The 21,633-nt window shown below is 34.9% G+C and overlaps 1 long non-coding RNA gene across 5 annotated transcripts in view, besides 1 other annotated feature; it reads right to left on the bottom strand.

The window, feature by feature from the left end:
• Positions 1–21,633, bottom strand: part of LOC107986602 (uncharacterized) — a 74,122-nt gene that overhangs the window by 9,550 nt on the left and 42,939 nt on the right. The window lies entirely within an intron of this gene.
• Positions 19,806–20,006: a silencer, noted in NCBI's record as "peak5834 fragment used in MPRA reporter construct". NCBI's record gives its function as "represses an SCP1 promoter by STARR-seq MPRAs in K562 erythroleukemia cells {active_cell/tissue: K562}" and the evidence as "EXISTENCE:reporter gene assay evidence [ECO:0000049][PMID:32103011]".

Here is a 21,633-nt window from a genome sequence, read left to right as displayed (position 1 = left end):
TATGAGTGACTTCAATTTAAATTAATCACAACAAAACCTTATGGAAACTCTATGCAGTTCATAATTTCTTACCATGATTTTCCTAGTTTATTCATAATGCTGCACACCAAATTCCATTTTTACTTCTCTATTTTATCAAAAGCCTTCTTATTTGCTGTACAAAAGTATTGAAATATCTGCACACATACTCCCTGTCAGCTAATGGCCTTGTTTTATATTGCATTTTTTAAAAAGATGCTATCAGATGGGATATCCTTGCCTTCTTTCTCTTAAACCTCACAAGTTTTCTGAATCTGAGCCCATACTCCCTTCTCCTTCATTGCTACTATACAGAACATAGCTAACAAAGGCTCTTGCATTCTGGATCACATTCTTTCTTAATTTCTCACAAATTTTATTCTGGAAATTACACATTGAATCATCCGAATTATCAATTTTTCCTTTTCTAGTGACATATTATAATCAGCTACAACTGTCTTCTTTAAAACTGACACACACACATGAATAAATCATCCCTCAACCTTCACTTCTTTGTCCAGGCACACCTCTCTGTTTGCTCATCTTTACAACAAAATTTTTGAAAGAATAAAATCTTGACAGTCACACCTATCTCAGATGAGCTTCTGTTACCTAACTCATCCAAATTTGATCTTATCAACTTTACCAATGACTTCAATTTGATAAACACAAATACTACATCTCTGTGTTCACCTATCATGTGTTCTTAGTATTATTCAACGCAATGAATATTTTCTGAAAAATTATCTCTTCTTGTCTTGTATGTCACTATTCTTTTTGTTTTATTCCTACCTGTCTTAGTCCATCTGGGTTGCTATAACAAAGCATTACAAACTGGATAGCTTATATATTACATAAATTTATTTCTTACAGATCTGGAGGTTGGCAAGTCCAACATCGAGGAGCAAGCAGATTCAATGTCTGGTGATGGTCTGCTTTCTTCATAAATGTATGTCTTTTCACTGTAACCTTATGGAAGAAAGGGCTATCCATTTCTCTGGCATCTTTTGTATAAGGGGATTATTCCCATTCATTAGTTTGGAGCCCTAATGACCTAATCAACTACCAAAGGCCCCATATTCTAATACCATCACCTTGGGGGTTAAATTTTAAGACAATATTGGAGGGAACACATTCAGATCATAGCACTAGCTCCAGAGGTAATGATTTGTATTCTCTTCCCTTGGTTCCTCTTATGGTTGCAGAACTATAAATATTGAAGTACTATCAAATGTTGGAACTGGACCCTATTTTCTTTTTTGTTATGCTCTTGTCTTTTGTGATATAATTTCAGGTGTGGTTTTAAAAACCCACTTACAACTGACTTCCATCTGTTTACCTCCTGTATTGAACTTTCTTCTAAGCTCCAACTGCTTTCTTGATATTTTTCACTTGTAGAACAACATGCCAAATGCAGAATTCATAATTAATTCTCTTACTGTGTCACACAAACTTTCTCTGCTTCTGTATTATACATTTCAAAACATATCCTGTGAGACAGGTATTTTCTGTAATCTGGGAAGCATCCATAAAGTCAATCTCTCAAAAATATATTCTGAAGCTATCCATTTCCATCTGTTTTCATTGCTGCTTCCCTAACTTAAGCCACCATTCTTATCCTCTAGACTCCTGTCAAAGAAGCTAGTGGGTCTACTTGATTCCACTTTTCACTAGTGCATTGCATTGTCTACATGGAGTTCAGAGAGAATTAGATCAATTCACTCTTTTGCTCATAATACTGCCAAGGCTTATCTTACTAGCTATTATCAAATCCAGTCTCATTGACAATATTCATATTGACCTCTTGTAATCTGACACACACCTGGATCTCTGAATTTATCTCATGTTTTACCTCTGACTTCTTTCTCTCATTGATATGGATTAGAATGCTCTGTCTGGTCCTCGCAGTAGCAAGTTTGCTACAGCATTAAAACCTTTATATTTAGTTATTCTTTGGGCCGTAATAATACACCTTCAGATTTTCATATGGTTAACTTTTTTCATCATTCAATAGTTTAGCTATTAGCTCCATAAAGAAGCCATTCTTGGCCAACCAATCATAAGTATCCTCCTACTACTCTACACCAGTTGTTCTCAATTAAAATTTCTATTTTATTCTTACACTTGACAATAGCCAAAGGCCAAGAAATGATCTATTTAATTTTTTATGGTATTTTGTGAGGGCTGATATGATCACTTTTAATGTGCACTTTGATGCTCTTTGACAAACCATAAGGCCCATTAGAATAAGAGCCTGTGCCTCATCTCTGCTTAATTTTCAGCATCCGTAATGGTTTCTGACCCATAACACATAATAAATATTTGTTGAATGAATAAATTCTGTTTTATAACAGAGTTCAGCACATTTATCTACTTTCATTTAATACACTATAAGTTGTTTGAGAATAAGGACCATGGGTACGTTACCTGGATTTCCAGGTAATTATAAGATAAGAATCTCATAATAAAACAGTAACTAAAAACCTGTGAATACTTGGAAAATGGCAGTCATGGTGGTATACATTTTGCTAATCTCTGAATCCACTGATTAAAAAAAAAGGCCAACTGCATATAACAAAATAAATAAAACAAAACAAAACACAGATAGCATATATAACATAATTGAATAACAGCTTAAGTGATGACAATTTACTAGTTGTGACATGACATCCATGATATGAGAATGTATGCAGGAATAAATAGATGGAAGCAGTAGCACATCTGACAGGTCAGAGAAGAGGAGAATCCCAAAGAGTCAACATATTTTCACTTTAAGGTCCTCTGGACCAATTTGAAAACAACAGCTGTAGTTGGATTTTGCTGCTCTAACAGCACAGAGATCCTGGGTATAGGTCCTAGAGCAGTTTGAGTCACAGAATCTCATGAAACCAGCCAGACATAGCTCCTTTCCAGGGCAGAGTCTTAAACTTGGGAGTAGAATCACAATGAAATAGAATAGAGAGAGAAGAGAGATGAAGGAAAGATGGAGATCTAGATAAACAGGGGAGAGAAGAACAGAGCCTGGAAATCTCAGAAAGGAAGTTGCTGTGTTTTTAAACACATTCCCACAATAATGGAACAGGAAATTAAATGAAGTTAGAAAATCTATCTTGAACTATGTCTGCCTTTAACATTTTAGGTAAAATAATGTTGCCTTAAAGGCTCCAATCTCATAAAATGGTATTATTAAAAAAAAAACAGAGAATAAGGGGCAGAATAACACTGCTACAGTTAATGATAGCATGCAAGAAAGATACACCCACAAAACAGATCAAAACTGTTACCTATTATTTCTGAATGAGGTAAAATAAGAAAATGGTAATACTAAAAAACATACTTTACAAATTTATAAAAACTCACAAGTGAAGTAAGATATATCAGGTATAAATTAAAAATAATAGAAAAATAAGTTGCAGGTAAATTTGAAATCAGAAATCAGAAGAAACACAAAAGCAAATAACATAGGTAAGACCTTAAACGAAATAAGTAAAGAGAAGGGAATTAAATTTTTAAAGTAGAATTTAAAAATAATTTTTTTTAAATATGAAAAATAATGAAAGTAGTCAAAAAACAACATATGGATTATAATACTTCCTAAAGAAATATAAAACAAGATAATGTAATAAATACTAAAAAAGCATTGTTCCAAACACTTTTGGAAAACTAAAAATAGCAAACCAGCAATTGACAGAGCACACTTCAGCCTAAGAATATCAACACAGAATAACCAACACTCAAACATATATACTTGCAAAACTTCTGGACTTTAAACAAAAGAAAAATGCTTTGGTAATCTAAGCCAAAAAAAGAAAATACCTTAAAAGGGAAGGAAAACTGGATAATCATCAGACACTTTGACAGTAACATTTTATGCTAGAAGAAATTAGAGAAACTATGAGCCAAAGATTTTACACCCACACACACACACATCTGACAATCAAGTATTAAAGACAAATTGCTATCAACATCTAAGAACTCAGGGATTATGACTCCCACAGCAGTTTCTAAGAAATCGACTAAGAACAAGCTGCATAAAACCAAAGTAACTAGAGAAATATTAGTGTACACTTCTAGGTATAAAGGTGGAGACTCAATAAATGAGACTTTATTGGAAAAGTGAAACTGCATGAAAGTTAAAAGAGAAATAGTATCCTTTTTAGTGGCTCTATGTTCACACAATGTAAAGTACAATTATTAAAATATGGGGAAAGAATGGGAAGAGCCTAGAAAAACTGACTTCTTTCAGTAATCATACTGATGTGGATAATATTTTTTTGTGTTTAATGTGTGATAAACAAAATATCTTATTATTTCCTATGTTTTGGAAAATCAGGATTAGCTTTGTAGAAGAAATCATACAGATTTAGTATAGCATAAATAATAATCCTCTAGCCCTGAATTTAAATTGGTAATATAATTTCATGAAGTACTCTTTCCATATATATATGTAAATATATATGCGTGTATGTGTGTATATATATATACACACACTTTAATATATTCTTTTACACACACATACATATATATAAATGTAGTCTTCTAAATGAATTTAGAATTTTATATATATATATATATATATATATATATATATATACACATACACTTAATTTGCTGACTAGACAAACTTCTAAGATAGCGCCCAGTGATCTCTGCCTCCTGGTATTCATGTCCTGGTGTAACTCCTAATCCTTATTGTCATCCTCCTTTTAATGAATAAGATGGCAAAACTAAGGGACGTCACTTCTGTGATTATAATACAAAATATTATATCCTCCATCTTGCTAAGAGACTCTTTTATGGCTTTCTCAGCATGCATGCTTTGATGAAACAAGCTATTCTGTTCAAGAGGCCTATGTGGCAAATAATTTAGTTTAGTTTAAACTAGGACCCTCAATCCATCCCATAAAGAATTGCTTTCTGTTGACATCCATGTGGAAGTGAAAATGATTCTCCACAGTTGAGACTTTTGATGAGACCTCAGCTAACATCTTGACAGCAGCATGGCAAGAGATCCACTAAGGACATGGTAAATGTCATTAATGTCTAACACCTGCTAGATACTTAGTAAAGATTTGTGAAGTAAGTGAATATGTGTATTTTATACTTTAAGTTCTGGGATACATGTGCTGAATGTACAGGTTTGTTACATAGGTATACATGTGCCATGGTGGTTTGCTGCACCCATCAACCTGAAAAAAGATCCCGTATAGCCAAGACCATGCTAAGCAAAAAGAGCAAAGCTGGAGGCATTATGCTACCTGACTTCAAGGCTACAGTAACCAAAACAGCATGGTACTGGTACCAAAACAGATATATAGACCAATGGAACAAAACAGAGGCATCAGAAATAACACCACACATCTACAGCCATCTGATCTTTAACAAACCTGACAAAAGTAAGTGAATATATTAAAGTATATGTTGAGAATACACACAAAATGAAGAATTATTTACTTGAAATTTATCTAAGATTATGTTTAACAGGGTTGTAAGTTCCTAATAACAAGGTTTAAAATATCTAGTTCTTTAAGAACCATCCTCTGTCAATTGTGAAATACATTTTTTTGTATTAAAAATAAAACAAAAAAAACTATTCTCATTGTATTGATAAAATAATTGCCCAAGGAATAGGGTTGTCTGGTGAGAGCTTAATTATGCCATTGTGATTTCCTTTCAGATTTGTGGGGCATGTAATGACTCTCGCTATGTAGCCAATTGTAATTATAAGGCACTTAAATACAAAAATTCAAGATGGGCTGATTGATTGCTCATCAATAATCTGAAAAGTGGTCAGAGGCTAAGAAGTAAAATTAAATGATAAGTGTTAAGAGGTGACCACTTCCGAAAGGGGGCACAATCCAACTCTTAACAATCCCAATGGATTTAGTCTTCCAAATGAACTTAAAATGTGAGATATTGAGACATTATGACCTCCTAGTACTTTAATACAGTAGTTGTTCCTCATTAGCAGGGCTAGAAATATAATTCTGTCAGATCATTATTAAACTGAATCCTAGTTTTTCTATTCCTACTCAGACTGATTAACAATTGGAGAAACACATTTCCACTAACACCGAGAGGTATTTGAAGAAAGTGGTATTAAAATATATGATTTATTAAAGAGAAGTATTAAAGGTTTCATGATGAAAAGGTTTATGATACCTTTACTAAGGAAAAGAAGCACACATTTTTTTCTTTTAACCCAAGTTAATTTTTACTGTTTAGGAATAGTATCATCATATTTCATAGAATCTAAAGTGCTACTATTAGTGATTTTAAGAGATTTCTAAGGAAATAATGCTGCCATTTATAATTATAAAACATGAACAATTGTAAAATGCTTCTGATTTCAGAGATAATAAATATAGGAAAATGTGAATTATAAAATATGGTACAAGTTATTAAGTCACCAGATCGTAGATATAAAGTTGGATGTTTCAGATGGCACACAAAGGAAGGTCTTGCTTTTCTATGTTTGATGCCTATTATTGTTCTATTATCTTTCAGGCTCAATGCAAAAAATCACTCATTCTCCCTGCTTTAGTAAGTACTGCTTACTGCTTCAGTAACATGCTGAGTATGACATTCTTTTTTAATAAAAAATGCCTGTCTTTACAATTTCAGATGAAATACTAGGTCCTAAGGATATTATTTGATGGTAAATGAGGGAAAAAGCCATTATCACCTTACATATGCCTTATACTGACTATTATTTTCACAGAACTGTGCGCAACTATATTCTGTCTTCATAAGGGAAATAAATGCTCATGAGATCCAAGTCTCTGTCTTTTGAATGAGGAAGATGAGTCAACCTTTACATCTCAAATATGACCCTATAAAAAGTGTAAGATAGAGAATCCAAGCATTCACAAAATTTGAGTGATTCTTGACTGCAGAACATTGACATGAGTGAAATTTTTTTATTACAAAACCCAGATTTAAGGACAGCCTTAGGCAAATGAGTTTATAATGAAGTATACATAATGTTATATAGGTATTGGTATGAGGGACAGGTTTTAATTAAGAAAAGTTCCAGGAGGTCTGTCCCTTAAAGCTTCCAGAGTTTGAACCCTGTATTAATTTTCTGGGCTGCCATAACAAAGTTATACAGATTGGGTAACTTAAAGGAAATTTATTTTCTCATGATTCTGGAAGCCAGAAGTTCAAGATCAAGGTGTCAGGGGCGTTGTTTTCTTCTGAGGGCCTATCATTTTGACTTGTAGATTAATATCTCCTCGGTTTTTTTTTTCAACATATGAATTTAAGGGAGTGGGAGGACAAAATCCAGCCCATAACAGACCCAAAGGAATTTAGTCTCCTAAATGAATTTAGAATTATGGAGCTCACAGCTAGTAAATCCATCACCCTGGGTCTTGCCTCTGATGGAAGTTCAAGTGATTGAAATATCTGCCTCTTATGTTTGATACAATTTCAGAGAACTGCAGTGGGGTTGAATTGTCTAGAGGCAATTCTAGAAATTCTGTTACCCTTTATAGTGATAAACTAACAACACATGGAGACATAGGATATATTATGCCACCCTAATGTTCAGACTCTGGCTGCTAAATTTATGACACCTAGATATTTGGTGGTAGCAATGTAGAAGCAGTTGTAAAATTATATCAATTCAATGTTACATAAAAATATGGATTGTTATTCTCCACTGAATGTTCAATTCAGATGAAAGGAGTTGCCTAGCTGTTTAACTTCAAAAGGACAGTTGCTTGATAAATTCATAGATAAGAAAGTGAGGAAGATCTAAGTAAGTGAATGATAAGGTAAACAATATGGAGCTCGGAAAATAGCTCCTTAAGTGTATATTTAAAATTTTTCTTTTGGAATTTGAATTCCTAAACAATGCTGCAATGTTTACTTTAAAAAAGAAAAAGGCACTTAGTAAACAAGCTAGTGTTCCTGGAAAAGAGCAAAATACGGGTTATTATTAATCAGCTTCATGGCAGTTTATGCAAATTTAAGTTCTAAACATGAATACTTAGTAAAAATTTCACATTTGCTAGACTTGCTTTACCACTCTTAGAGACAATGTTGATAACAAATAGCTTCTTTGAAATACAAAACTCCCTTTCTGTTATTCCTTGATATATATTCAGACAGTACAGATCTGCCATATTTATCCTACACCATTTACATTTTCACTACCCCAGAAAATTATGAGTTCTTAGAAAATAGATCTATCCTTCCTCATTTTTTCTCTAAATCTTAATTTACCTTTCTTTTGGTATCACCTATAAAAGCCTATACCTGTGTTTATGATTTTAGTTCTGATTAGATAAAAGTCTAATAACTAAGCAATAATTGGCTCTTTTTAAAACCTAACTCTAGTTTTGCTTCAACATCAGCTTTTCCTACTTCAGAGGCTTTCATTATTTATAGCTGAAAATCATACAATTACCCTGTTTCTCTGAAGAAGATGTAAGATAATATACAGCCCTTGGGGAGATTTAAGTAAAAGGAAATTTTAAGATACTCTCCAGCTTAGTAAAATATAACACCCCAAGGACAATTGAGTTTTAAATATAAAATCACAACCCTAGCTACAATCAAGGAATGTCATAACCAGAGAAGATTAATAAAAAGATTTGCTCACTTAATAACGAGAAAACTGAGGTCTAGAGAAATTAATGGCTTATCCAATTATACCAGAAGTTAATGCAAATATGTAATTTAAATGGAGCTATTCTGAATCCCAGATCACTAATAATATTTTAGTACAATAATTAATCCATTGTGTTTTTACATGTTTACAGTTTACAAAGGGATTTGTATGCATACCGTATACATTGCCTTATTTCATCTTCAAAATGACCTCTGCAACATGTAGGGAAAATATTTTAACCATTGAATTTCACTTACACATAAAATAATTGAACCTAGGGACATGAATTGGTTTGAAGAAGATTACAGAATTACAAAAAATATGTATTCTAGATCAGTCTTATGCCATCTTGCTATAGAGCTTTGAATATTCCCACTACCAGCAGTTCAATGTCTAAAGTAATTTGCTGACCAAGTACCTGATGTGCCTCCTTCAAACCAAGTGCATTTGTTATTGTTTATAACTTCATAATTGTTCTCCAGACCTGCCATGCTGATTCAGCTGGAGACACTATCATTGTAGTACAGATATGCTATAGGACATCCTCACAGTCCCCAGGGAGTAGACAACCTTAAATTCTGAGTCACTGAGTTTTGATTCAAACTGAATTTAAGATACTGATTTTTTCTCTTCTTTCCTACTAATAAGACAGTAAGGGGGTAAGATTTGTTTTGTATTTTAATATTTTATTTTATTTTTTCTCTAGTCAAACCAATAAAGTTAAATAGAAACAGAATTCAGTTTTTCCATAAAAATTTAACTCAAAGTAAAAGTTAAAAATATATTTTCTTGTCATTGTCTGTTCTCAAGGAAAACTACCCAGTCAATAAGCATTTATTGACTGAGTGTGGCAGTCTTTGTCTACAATGGTTTGTCCTCATTTTACTGTGCTTGTAGAAACAAAAATGTAGAGTACTTGACTCACAAAGATAAGAATTTTTAGAAAAGAGCTCACTGTGCAATTAATTTGCTGACAATGGTAGGGAGAGATAATAGAATTGAATTGGGAGTCAGAAGTTCTTTGGCCTAGCCCTAACTTTACCATGAGCTTTCTGTGAACACATAGATCTGTTCCCTGGGACTCCTTCAGCATCCTGACTTCTTAAATTTTTGAATAAAATATTCTTGGAAATCCTTTCTGTTTCTAAAACATAGATATTTATATTTTCCTGGTTGGCCTTGGTGTTTGGTGCTTGATCCTGATGTCTCTTTTTCTTTTTCTTTCTTTTTGGATTCTTTTATCAGTTAATCAACTGTATTCTTCAAAAAAAAAAAAAAAAAGAAAAAACCATGAAGAATTATGTCTTAATTTGAATTTCTTCTAGCTATCCATTGATAAAACAGCTTCAATATGGCAATGTGTGGCACTTTTGCATGTATGTGGCTCCTGAGTGAGACTATACAGAATAAGGAGGAAAAGAAACTTTCAAGTTCAGTAATGCCTGCTGTTTCCTTCACTTTAAGAAACCTCTGCATATATATTTGTATTAATTATGTTTTATTTAATACTGGAATCATTTATCAAGGTATATTTCTAGTCTATTGCCTTCTGTTCAAAGAAGCAGTGTTCACCAAGTCTGTAGGTATCAGGCTTGAGGGTAGAGAGGATTGATTTGCATATGACAGGGTGAACGGAAGGTGGAAAGCACACACCTCCACATATATATGCATTCCATCTGCATGGAATCTAAGTTACTTGTTAATTCATTTGGGTATTAAGGCTTACTCTCTAATTTGTGTTGGGTGTGAAACTAAATGTAGGGACATAGTTAATATGCTGGGTACATGCATTCTGGGAATAAGAGAAAAAGCACAAGCTTTGACTTGATCTGTGATTTATCTTGACTTACAATCTTTCTAATTCTAAATTTCTCCAACTAATAAAAGATGATGGATAGTGTTTTTTAACTTATAAGGTTATTATTTCTTAACTTCTGAGGTTTTTGTAAATATTAAGTGTGATAATTTGTATACATCTAACTCCTGTAGTCCCGGATTTAAAGGGTATTGAAATCCATTTCTCAATTACTAACGACATACATAGACATACACAAATACATACAAATAAATGAACACACACACACATTTACACAAACATACCTGAACACAACTGAATACCACATACTTGACACCCTTTTGCCTAAAGTGTTACATAATGCAATCCAAATTTTAAAGGCATAAGGACATCTATTAAACATGAAGTCAGTAAAAGAAAATAATATTTTAAAGAATATCTCATGCTTACAATGGAAACTGTTGAGTCAAAGTTCCTTGTTCTCTAAAGCATTACACTGTCCATCTCTTTGTGACTAGATCCAGATGTAACAGAAAGCATGGGCTTTGATGGTCAAACACATGTTGGATACAATTCTGGTCCCTTATATACCGTGCAACTTCAGATAAGTAATTTAAACTCTCTAAGTCTCGGATTTACTATTGTTGGTATGGAAATAATATTCTTCTCATACATGAAGAGTTAAAGAACGAATGAAATAACATAACGTCCCAACATGGCACATTCACATAATATCCCATCTTTTCTCTGTGCAGGTCTTTACCATAAACAGAACAAAATGTGCAGCCAAAAAATCTGTACTTCCCTTGATTCCTCAATATTAATATTTCCCTATGAGTCTGTGGTACTCCTGATTCATGCTTATAATTGTGCTCTGCTCAAAGTAACACAAGCAAGCAGCTGAAAAGTAATTTGAAAATAACTACTTTCCTTCTGTCTTGCCCCGAATGTTATACAATTACCAAGATTTCAAAGAGCAGCAAATGTTAGTCCTTCTGTCCATCCTGTCCTTCTTGTTCACTTCTCAAACACTATACTATTCCAGTGCTCCAGAGATGCTCTAAATTCCACCCTGATTGATGCTGAAAACATTATTTTCTAATCTCAGTCTTTTGTAACACTTCTGCCTTTTCATGCTCCACTTGCGCATTAGATTCTTTCACTTCCACCAATTCTTCCACATTTTAAGGGAGATAGAGTAGATCCTCATAAACACCATTTCTTGTAGTTTCCTATTTGCTACATCCCAGACTGTGTATTTTACATACATTGTATTACTTAATATTCAGGAAAAGCAGTGATTCTTAGTGATATACATCCCAGACTGTGTATTTTACATACATTGTATTACTTAATACTCAGGAAAAGCAGTGATTCTTAGTGATATATGAGATGGCCAGCCATTATGTTGTTATCAAATTATAGGGTCTTTTGAGATTGACATCTGACTGCTATGACAAAAATAAATTATTTCAATATTGCTGAATAACAAGATAAACATAATCAAAGAAAGCACAGATGTGATTCATCTCACAATTAGTGACTTTATGAAGTTAAACACGCTGAAGTTAAACAAATTCACATTGATCTAAAGATGTTTTTACCAGCACTCAGCAATGCTAGCAATCTAATATAGCTTAAGATTTAATAAAAGGTAGATTCTATTAATCAAAGTGTTTTTAAAGGCTATTGTTTCTTTGCCTTCTTTTATGATTTAGAATATTAGAGCCTTAAGGTTTTTCAGAGGAATTAACTACATTAGTTTAAAGATGAATCAGTACCCATTGATAAAATAATCTTTAAAAAGAATAATATATAATATTTAAAAGCTTATTCTAAGATAATAAATTACATTCTAATTTTTTTTTCAAATAAGCCGTTAATATCAGATGCAATTAAGAAGGGTTGGTGAATTTCAAACAATATACTCTAAATATTAGAGGCCACCTTAAGTTTCTCCTCTTATATTTGATATTTTACTATGAACACGGAAAAATCAAAGTTCTTTCATTTTCAGGTGTTTTGAAACAAAATGGAACAATGTTACAAAAGGATCAAGTCTTAAGGTATTGTTGGGAGATTGTGTTTATTTGTTTATTTATTCCTTCACTGATAAACATAATAAACAACTAACTTGTGTATGAGATAGTGTTTTGGAGATATTTTGGAAATCTAACTTTTCTCCTCTGGATCCTTGAGATGATCAGATAGTTTGATTAAACAATTATGTGATGATCTCATACTTCCATGAATAGTATTTTCGAGATTCAAATTTATATTCACAATTTGGTGTGAAATCACAATGTTTTGTTTGCTGTTTTTGCTTGTCTGGGTTTGTTTTGAAGGTGTCCCATACCCATTGTCTGTGTTCCCTTTCACTTTAGGTAACCATTAGTTTCTCTTTAGTTTGGAAGATTTTTCTTCTGTTTTCTCTTAATGGATAATATTTATGATTTGTGTGTCCATACTTAGTCATTAAGAATAGGTGTTTTGAAGAAAACATGCTTTTTTTTTCTTTTACATTTACTGGTTTATTATAAAGGATAATACAAAGGACATGCTGTTCTTATCTCTGACTTTCCTAATGCCAAGCTGGTTCTACTTTCCTACTGACTTCTATTTTGGAAAGAATAAGAAACACTGTTTTCAGAAGATCAGTGCTTTCAGACAGACTGAAACTTTCACATCGTGGAGAGGCACCAATGGAGTTTCCCAATTTCTTAATATAAATTATATAGGAGGAATAATTTTAAGAGATCTATTATAAAACATGGGGACCATAGTTAGTGATAATATATTGTATACTTATGATCACTAATAAAGTAGATAAGTGTTCTCACCACACAAAAATAACTGTGAGGTAACGCATATGTTAAATAACTTGATTTAGCCATTCCACAATGTGTATATATTTCAAAAAATCATGTTATACACAAGATTATATGCAATTTTTTCTTTGTCAATTACAAAAGTATTTAGTTAAAAATAAAAATTTAATAATTTTTTCCACTCGAGGCCTTCCTTTAACTTCTGAAACTTTTTTCCTTGTAGGAAGTGTTTTTTTTTCTAGAGCATTTCTGATATGGAGGATTAATATTTCATGAAATAATTATAAATGCCTGACTTGCAGCAGCTTTTAACAAGGAAAGGACACACAATGATGGAATATTAATGTATAAGCACCACTCATATTAAAGTTCTTGTCAGAAAAATTTGGGTTTGGAGTGAAAATATGTGTTTCTTTTTCTAGTTTATACAGCACTTTTATTATGGTGCTTTTATTTATTAAAGTACCTCGATGTAAAAGACTTAGGCAATCTTTCTATTTGTTTTATTGCTACTCTGTCAGGGAGAGAAAAATTATAATCAACTTTTTTCAAAGTAGAGAAGTGAAAATTGCAAATAAACTTCTAATGTGGGTCAAAATCAAGAACTTTGGATTTTTATGATATCAATGACATAGTAGTTAAAACCTCAGATACACCTGTATTAAATTCTTTTTTTTTTTTTTTTTTTGAGACGGAGTCTCGCTTTGTCACTGAGGCTGGAGTGCAGTGGCGCGATCTCTGCTCACTGCAACCTCCACCTCTTGGGTTCATGCCATTCTCCTGCCTCAGCCTCCTGAGTAGCTGGGACTACAGGCGTGTGCCACCACGCCCAGCTAATTTTTTTGTATTTTTAGAGATGGGGTTTCACTATTGCTTTGTGATCATGTGCAAGATACTTAACTGTAATTCTCCTGCCTCTCATTTGAAAATAGAGATAATAACAGTACAATTGTCCCAGGATTGTGGTAAAGATTAAAGAAAATATGGCACAAGTGTCAGGAATTGGTATCTATTATTATTATTATTATTAATTCAGGTCTAAATCTTCATTACATAATAAAATAATTGCTGTTTCTACCTTCACACAAATTCTTAAATCTCTGCCTTCTCTCTTATATTTTTTCCATTGCATGAAAACTGTTTCATTCCAAGGCAATACTAACTTCCTATTTGCTGAATAAATGGACATTTTTCAGACCTTATCTTCCACTCGCTGTAACTTTTGGCACTGTTTACCAGTGCTCTCTTCTTGCAACTGTGTAAAATTTTGCCTTCTCAGTTGATTGGAGGATACAGAAGAACCCTAGAGTATGAGCTTCCTCTCTTTACATCTTGTCTCACTGCTAAAGACCTCACTATTGTTTTAAGTATATGTCCTGTGCTCTGTGCCCTATATATGTGGGCTTTATTACCTATGTCCTTCTCTCTAGGCTACGTGGGCTGACTTTTCCACTATGGGTTTCCCAAGAGTAAAGGTATCAAGTTCATATACTTGTTACCTAAAATAGATGAAATGAGATTAAATGGCAAAACCTGACACATTATTTAAGTGAAAAACTATGCTTGTAACAATAGGGATGTGATTATATGTCTAGCTGTAGTTCCATAGACCATCTATGCTCCCTTAGTAAATTATCATATGTCACTGGCCTAAAGAAATAAGTAGAAAAGGCCAGGCGCAGTGGCTCATGCCTGTAATCCCAGCACTTTGGGAGACCGAGGCGGGCAGATCACCTGAGGTCGGGAGTTCGAGACCAGCCTGACCAACATGGAGAAACCCAGTCTCTACTAAAAATACAAAAATCAGCCAGGTGTGGTGATGCATACCTGTAATCCCAGCTACTCAGGAGGCTGAGGCAGGAGAATCGCTTGAACTCAGGAGGTGGAGGTTGCAGTGAGCCGAGATGGCACCATTGCACTCCAGCCTCGGCAACAAGAGTGAAAATCCAACACACACACACACACACAAAAAAAGGTATCATAGCTGGAGTTTCATAATTGAGGTAAAGATATTTAAAATAGTCTGTGACATGCTTGCTGTAAGTCAGATATAATTGTCTTTCCAGTAGAAAACAGATGATTAAAAGTCAGAAAAGTTAAGGCATGAAGCAGCAGAAAAAACCTAGATAATGTCACTGCTATTGTAATACAAATAGGCAAGGTACTTGCAAAAGAAGAGTAAATATGTCAACCATGCATGGAAATGTGGTTCTCTAATTTTAATCCTCATAAAACTCATCTGAGATGTTTGTTTGTTTAAAATGCAAACTCTTATTCTCTATGTATTTGGGGTAATATCTTTTTTGAGATTGAGTCTTGCTCTGTCACCCAGGCTGGAGTGCAGTGGCGCAATCTCGGCTCACTGCAAGCTCCACCTCCCGGGTTCATGCCATTCTCCTGCCTCAGCCTCCCAAGTAGCTGTGACTACAGGTGCCCACCACCATGCCCAGCTAATTTTTTTGTATTTTTAGTAGAGACGGGGTTTCACTGTGTTAGCCAGGATGGTCTCGATCTCCTGACCTCATGATCTGCCCGCCTCGGCCTCCCAAAGTGCTGGGATTACAGGCATGAGCCACCAGAGGACATCTTATATACACTCTCAAAGAAATCCTCCTTTGTTGACTGCTGTTGCTCTTTTGCCAAGACTCTGGAGGGAATCTAACATGTCTATTGCAAGCCTACTCTGTGCCCAGGCATCAAGGGCTACAACTGTATTCTGCTATTTCTCCTCTTAGAAAATGCCACTCTGCCAGAATACTTTTTCCGGTAAAAGCCAAGTATCGACACCTCTGAGCTTTTAAAACAATATCGCCCTGCCTTTGGTTCTTACTAGAATGGGGCTTAGTATCACAATGCTCTGAAAAACAAAATGGGAAAGAAATGCATTATTGCCCTTATCAATTCTTTTCCTCTTCATGTATCACCCATATACTTGTAAGAAACTTTATCCTTCCATGCACCTTTCCTCACCACATATATCATGAAGTAAATACATGTCCTAGATGCTGACTGCATATATACAGCCCTATCTGAGGCAAAATGGGGAATCTAGCCCTATTTGAACACAAGGTCTTTGTGCTGACATATTTCCTTCTTCTCTATCTCCATCTGGTCCATTCTTCCCTCAAATAGAGCTTAAGGCAAATCTCATTATATCTCTCTTTGTCTCCAGATCCTTCAATGACTACCTGTGGTTTTCAGGATAAAATCTAATTTAACATAACCAGTATTCTGTTAATCTTTTGGCCTTAGTTCTCACTAATTACCTCCATATCTCATGTCTCCCACCTAGACATATGTCTCATAGTCTATGTCACTGAAGGAATTGGTGTGAACAACACTTTTTCTCCATTTACTGATTATTAGCCTTTTAACCAAATAATATTGTAAAATCAATGTTGTCTCATTCTTTTGTATTTTCCTGTTCTCTGGAATAGGACTTTAAATATAGTTGCTAAAGTAAGGCAGAAAGACAAGAAGGAAGGAATGAAGAAGGAAGGAAGGAAGGAAAGAAGGAAGGAAGAAAGGAGAAGGGAAGGGAAGGGATAATATATTTCCTCTAGAGACTAATGCAAGATACAAGGGTTTGTTTAATGGTCTTATATATTAATACTTCATTTACCTAATGTGTTTGTACTAAAATAACAAAAAGAAATATGTAGAGAATTATAAGCTATTTCTTCTTGGCTATGATTGCTCAGTGCTACCATTTTCACTTCATTCCTCTGAGGCTCATACTACTAATGTGGTCAACAACCCATGCTGCTTATTCAGGAATCCATACAATCCCTTTAATAACTCATATTTCTGGACAGCAAAGGAGGTCAGAGAGGTAAGGAAATACTCCCCAACTGAGGAAGGTAATATTGTTTACAGGAGAAAAATGAGGAAAAACTCTGTAAGTTAGGGATTTTTTAAAAATTGGTTTTCTTGGTTTTGCTGTTCTGAAATAACCCTTGAACACACATCAGAAGCTTCTGGCAGGCCACGAAGCAACAGCCCGTTTCCTTTGATTTCCCGGAGTTGCAATGAATATCAATGGAAGATAATGCATTTCACTTCTAATGCTTTTCACAGTTTATCATCAGACATCTAGTAGTTAGGAAGTAAAGAAAGAAGTTGGGCATGACTGGTATTTATCCATACATAGTTTTTCAGCCGAGGTCAACATTTCACGCACTGTTCTCTGAAGCTGGGGCTAGGGCGGGCAAACAACATTATACAGACTTTTTATTTTATTTTATTTTTATTTTATTTTTTGTCAGCTAGCTTTTTGTTAGGTTCTAAGAATATAGGGCTTTAGTGGGACAGTGGGTGGCAAGAGGAGAGAAGAGACCCGTTTCCTGCTTTCTTGCTGTCCCTAGCATCATTACCCAAGTGTCTCTTTGTCACAATACCATTAGTTGGACTAGACTTCAGCTTCTTTTACCACTTCTAGCACCAACCCCATCATACTCGCTCACAGAGAATTGTAGAAACTGGATAACAATGCCTTATCCTTGTGGCCTGGGTCCACCTTACCTGACTTTTCCAAGCTTCTGGTAACTCAGTGCCTTCCATTTATTTTTCTGGCTACAGTGTATTAGGTGCTTTCTACAGTTACTGCCTTTAGATACCTCGGTGTTTGTTTTTTGATCCTTCACCACCACTCCTTTCCCCAGATAATAGTTAACTAATATAGTTAACTAATATATCGATAGATTGAATCCACTCTCTTGAAATATATATTGGCGGTTCTGTTTTTCTGTGTCTCTTCTTATACATCAGGACTCTGGATTCTCTTTTGAGTCTTCTGTTAATTCAGAGGTCTATACTATATTTCTATAGTATGCTTCCTATATCTCTACTTCCTGCCTTCAAACTTAGAGCCACATGTCTTGACTGCATTAAAGAAACCTCCTCTCATTTTCATGTTTCTCATTTCTAGTCAGCCTCATTTCCTGCCATGCCATAATACAACCTTATATGACAGTTATTATTTGGTCTGGTTGTTCGTTGTGTCTGCACACTTATTCCCATCAATATGCCTTTGCATATACTGTTTCCCAATATTTTCTTCCTACATATTCAAAATACCTCAGAGTTCTGCCCCAGCCCCTCTAACATTAAGTAGCAGCCTCTAACTTTCACAACTTAAAATAGTCAGTGTCTTCTGTAAGCTATTACCAGTATAGCTTACTCAGCAAGGGATATAGATTACCTTACCTTAAAATAATGATGATTTCCTGTTTATCATCAATGTCTTCTGAAGTTAAAGGTCACACAAGGACAGAGATCATATTCTCAATTCCTCTTCTACTGTCCATTGCACATATTAAATAGTCAATTGCACAGAGATGCGTTGTAATTAAATTCAGATTGTCTAGTTTCTTTCAGCAACCTCACAAGTGATCATAGTTCATCCTTTTTTCCTCAGAGTAAATGGTTCTGAGTGTGGTGTTTCCAGTACACCCATGCTTACCTTACAATATAAGGAGAAGGATTTTCTTAACAGTGATAAAATATTTTAAATTTAGCCCATATAAAACTTTTTGGCAGTTTTACCACTGCTTTAATTATTTAAAGGCCTTTTTTGAAATCTCAGACTTGACATGTGCTTGAGTAATTAAAATTCCCGTACCTTTTCATGGTGTGTCAATAGTCCCATGACTGGCATATCCTAATCTTATTTTCTTGCTCCACTAAAAACGAGGTCTGTTTGCTAGTAGAAAACAAGTGGAGAAAATTATCTGTTGTTTGCTTTAATTCTAATCTTCATGACTGATGATCCTCCCTAGTGGCTCTCTCTACATTTTCTGTCTGCATCAGGGTTCTAGTTAGGTGAAGTATACGAAAAACTGACATTTAAAAATAAAACTGCTGGAACACGTTATTCTGGAGGTGCATAATAAGGAAAACAGTCAGTTCAAAAACAAAGTTTGCCATCTATCTTTAACGTAAATAAAAGATGTTATTCTAACTTGTGCTTATGTGGTACCCTTTTTGAGCAAGTAGAAAATATTTTAAAAAGAAAAAAGTGAGAATATCCTATGTTGCTTTTTCTTTAAAAATAAGGTGAAGGGCTCTTAAAAGTTAAACTTTTTATTTTTCAGTGTCAATGATAATGAAGGCTGCGCAGGAGAAAGGCGTGAATCCGGGAGGCGGAGCTTGCAGTGAGCTGAGATGGCGTCACTGCACTCCTGCCTGGGCGGCAGAGCGAGACTCCGTCTCAAAAAAAGAAAAAAAAAAAGATAATGGCATATGAGATTTGTCATAGGCCTTCACTTTCTAATATGTGACTAAAATAAAAAGGAAACATCTGTCTGTCCCAAAATTCTAGTAGTAGACTCAGTGATTGGCTGGTATAGGATATAAATTGAGGCGGCAAAGAAAACTCATCCGGTCAGTTCTCCACACATTCTAATGAACTCCTGTCTTTGCTGGTTCAGTTCTATCTGGAAACTGAAACGAATGTTTGCAGAAAAATCGTAAACATTTAGGAGATAGTAATATTCAATTAGGGTTTTCACCTCTTACTTTGGTCCTTCCATTAGTGACTTTTTCTCTACCTCCTGCAGCTCCTGGTGACTCTGAAAACTTTGTCCTTTCACCATCTTTAGACAGAGGCAGATCATGACTCTAACCTCAGCCCTATCATCAGATAAGCTGAAGAAACAATTCGCCCAGCAAGAGCTGGGAGGAGCTCCACTGCACAGTTCCTGTCTGACCCATCAGTTAAAGGCTAGTACTTCCTGGGCACTGCTGCCTGTATTGTTTTCCTCCTTAAATTTATTTTCATTCCCAATTCCCATGATATCATGATTTTCCTACCTTAGCTCCTGCCCCTCATTTCGGACTGGAATTTCACTTTCCCTTTACACTTGAGCCTGCTTTGAAGGTCTGCTTTCAATTCTCTTGCCCTAATAACAGGGACAAAGATTCATGTGCTCCTTGGTGATCTGGTACTAGTTTATCACTGTGGACAATGAGACTATCTGAGTCCTCTTTTCTTCCTGCTGATCAGTCGGTTATTTCCAAAAATGTATCATCAAAGTTCATTTATCCATCTCTAAGATTTACTTGCTTTTCAGTTGTTATTGTAATATTTACGATCTCTCTCTGCGTGTGTGTGTGTGTGTGTGTGTGTGCGTGCATGTGTTTCAATAAAACTTTTGGCTTTTTTTCGGCCTCTGGGTTTCTAGCAGGAATAGAGAATAGCTGGTTAAATACAGTTATGCTTTCTATCTTTGAATATTATAAAATGAGACTGTAGTAGGGGGTTGGAGCAAAAAGCCAAATGCCTCCTGCAGATAGGTTTCTGCATGTTTCTGATACAAAACCTTTGAAGATTTTGTCTGAATTGTATTTATTTATTTATTTATTTTTGAGACAGAGTTTCACTCTTGTTGCCCAGACTGGAGTGCAATGGCGCGATCTCGGCTCACCACAACCCCCTCCTCCCAGGTTCAAGTAATTCTCCTGCCTCAGCCTCCAAGTAGCTGGGATTGCAGGCATGCACCACTACGCCCAGCTAATTTTATATTTTTAGTAGAGACGGGGTTTCTCCATGTTGAGGCTGATCTCGAACTCCTGACCTCAGGTGATCCACCCACGTCGGCCTTCCAAAGTGCTGGGATTACTGGTGTGAGCCACTGCACCCGGCTTTGTCTGAATTTTAGTTACCTGTTCTGTTAGGCATGAAGTTTGGCTACATTACTCACTTACATCTGACTGATGCAGGGGTTTCTATCAGAAATTGGAATTTTACGCTTCTTACAAGCTAAGAAATTAGATAATTACAGCTTCATGGATGCTGATAGATGACAACAGACTCTAGGATCAGAGAGAAAAGATTTTATCACTTAAAGCACAGCAAGTATGCCATCAAGTCCTGCAGAGTAATGCAGAGGGGGCATTCTGGAAACTATGCATGCAGTGAGTTTGCATTGCAAAAAACTGTAAACTTTAAGTATCACTGCTTCCATAGGAACCTGCTCTTTGTATGTATGAAGATATCTCATCCCTTAAGGATGCTCACTGCAAGTACAACCATCAGAAATGGCTGAGAAAAGAATTATCTGTGTCTTGCATTCTTGTTATGCCCAGCAAAAATGGGTATGAATATTCAATATTTGTGCCAGATTAACTCTCCCAATATTCTTTAACTGCAAATTCCATAAGAATCTCTTGGAGAATTTGTTTAAAATCCACATTTCTGAATACCACATGGAAAGATTTTTTTTCCACAGTTCTGAGATATTGTTCAAGAAACTGTACATTTCACATAATCAACACGTGATTCTGAAACAGATTATTCTCCTAGCACAGTATGTTATTGTCCCCAAATTGTGTATGCACAGGCATGCCAGTTGTGAAACAAAAAGAAAAGAGTAAAA

This window comes from Homo sapiens, chromosome 6, assembly GCF_000001405.40.
Source record: "Homo sapiens chromosome 6, GRCh38.p14 Primary Assembly".
NCBI lineage: Eukaryota > Metazoa > Chordata > Mammalia > Primates > Hominidae > Homo > Homo sapiens.
This window is presented reverse-complemented; position numbering and strand designations above follow the sequence as displayed.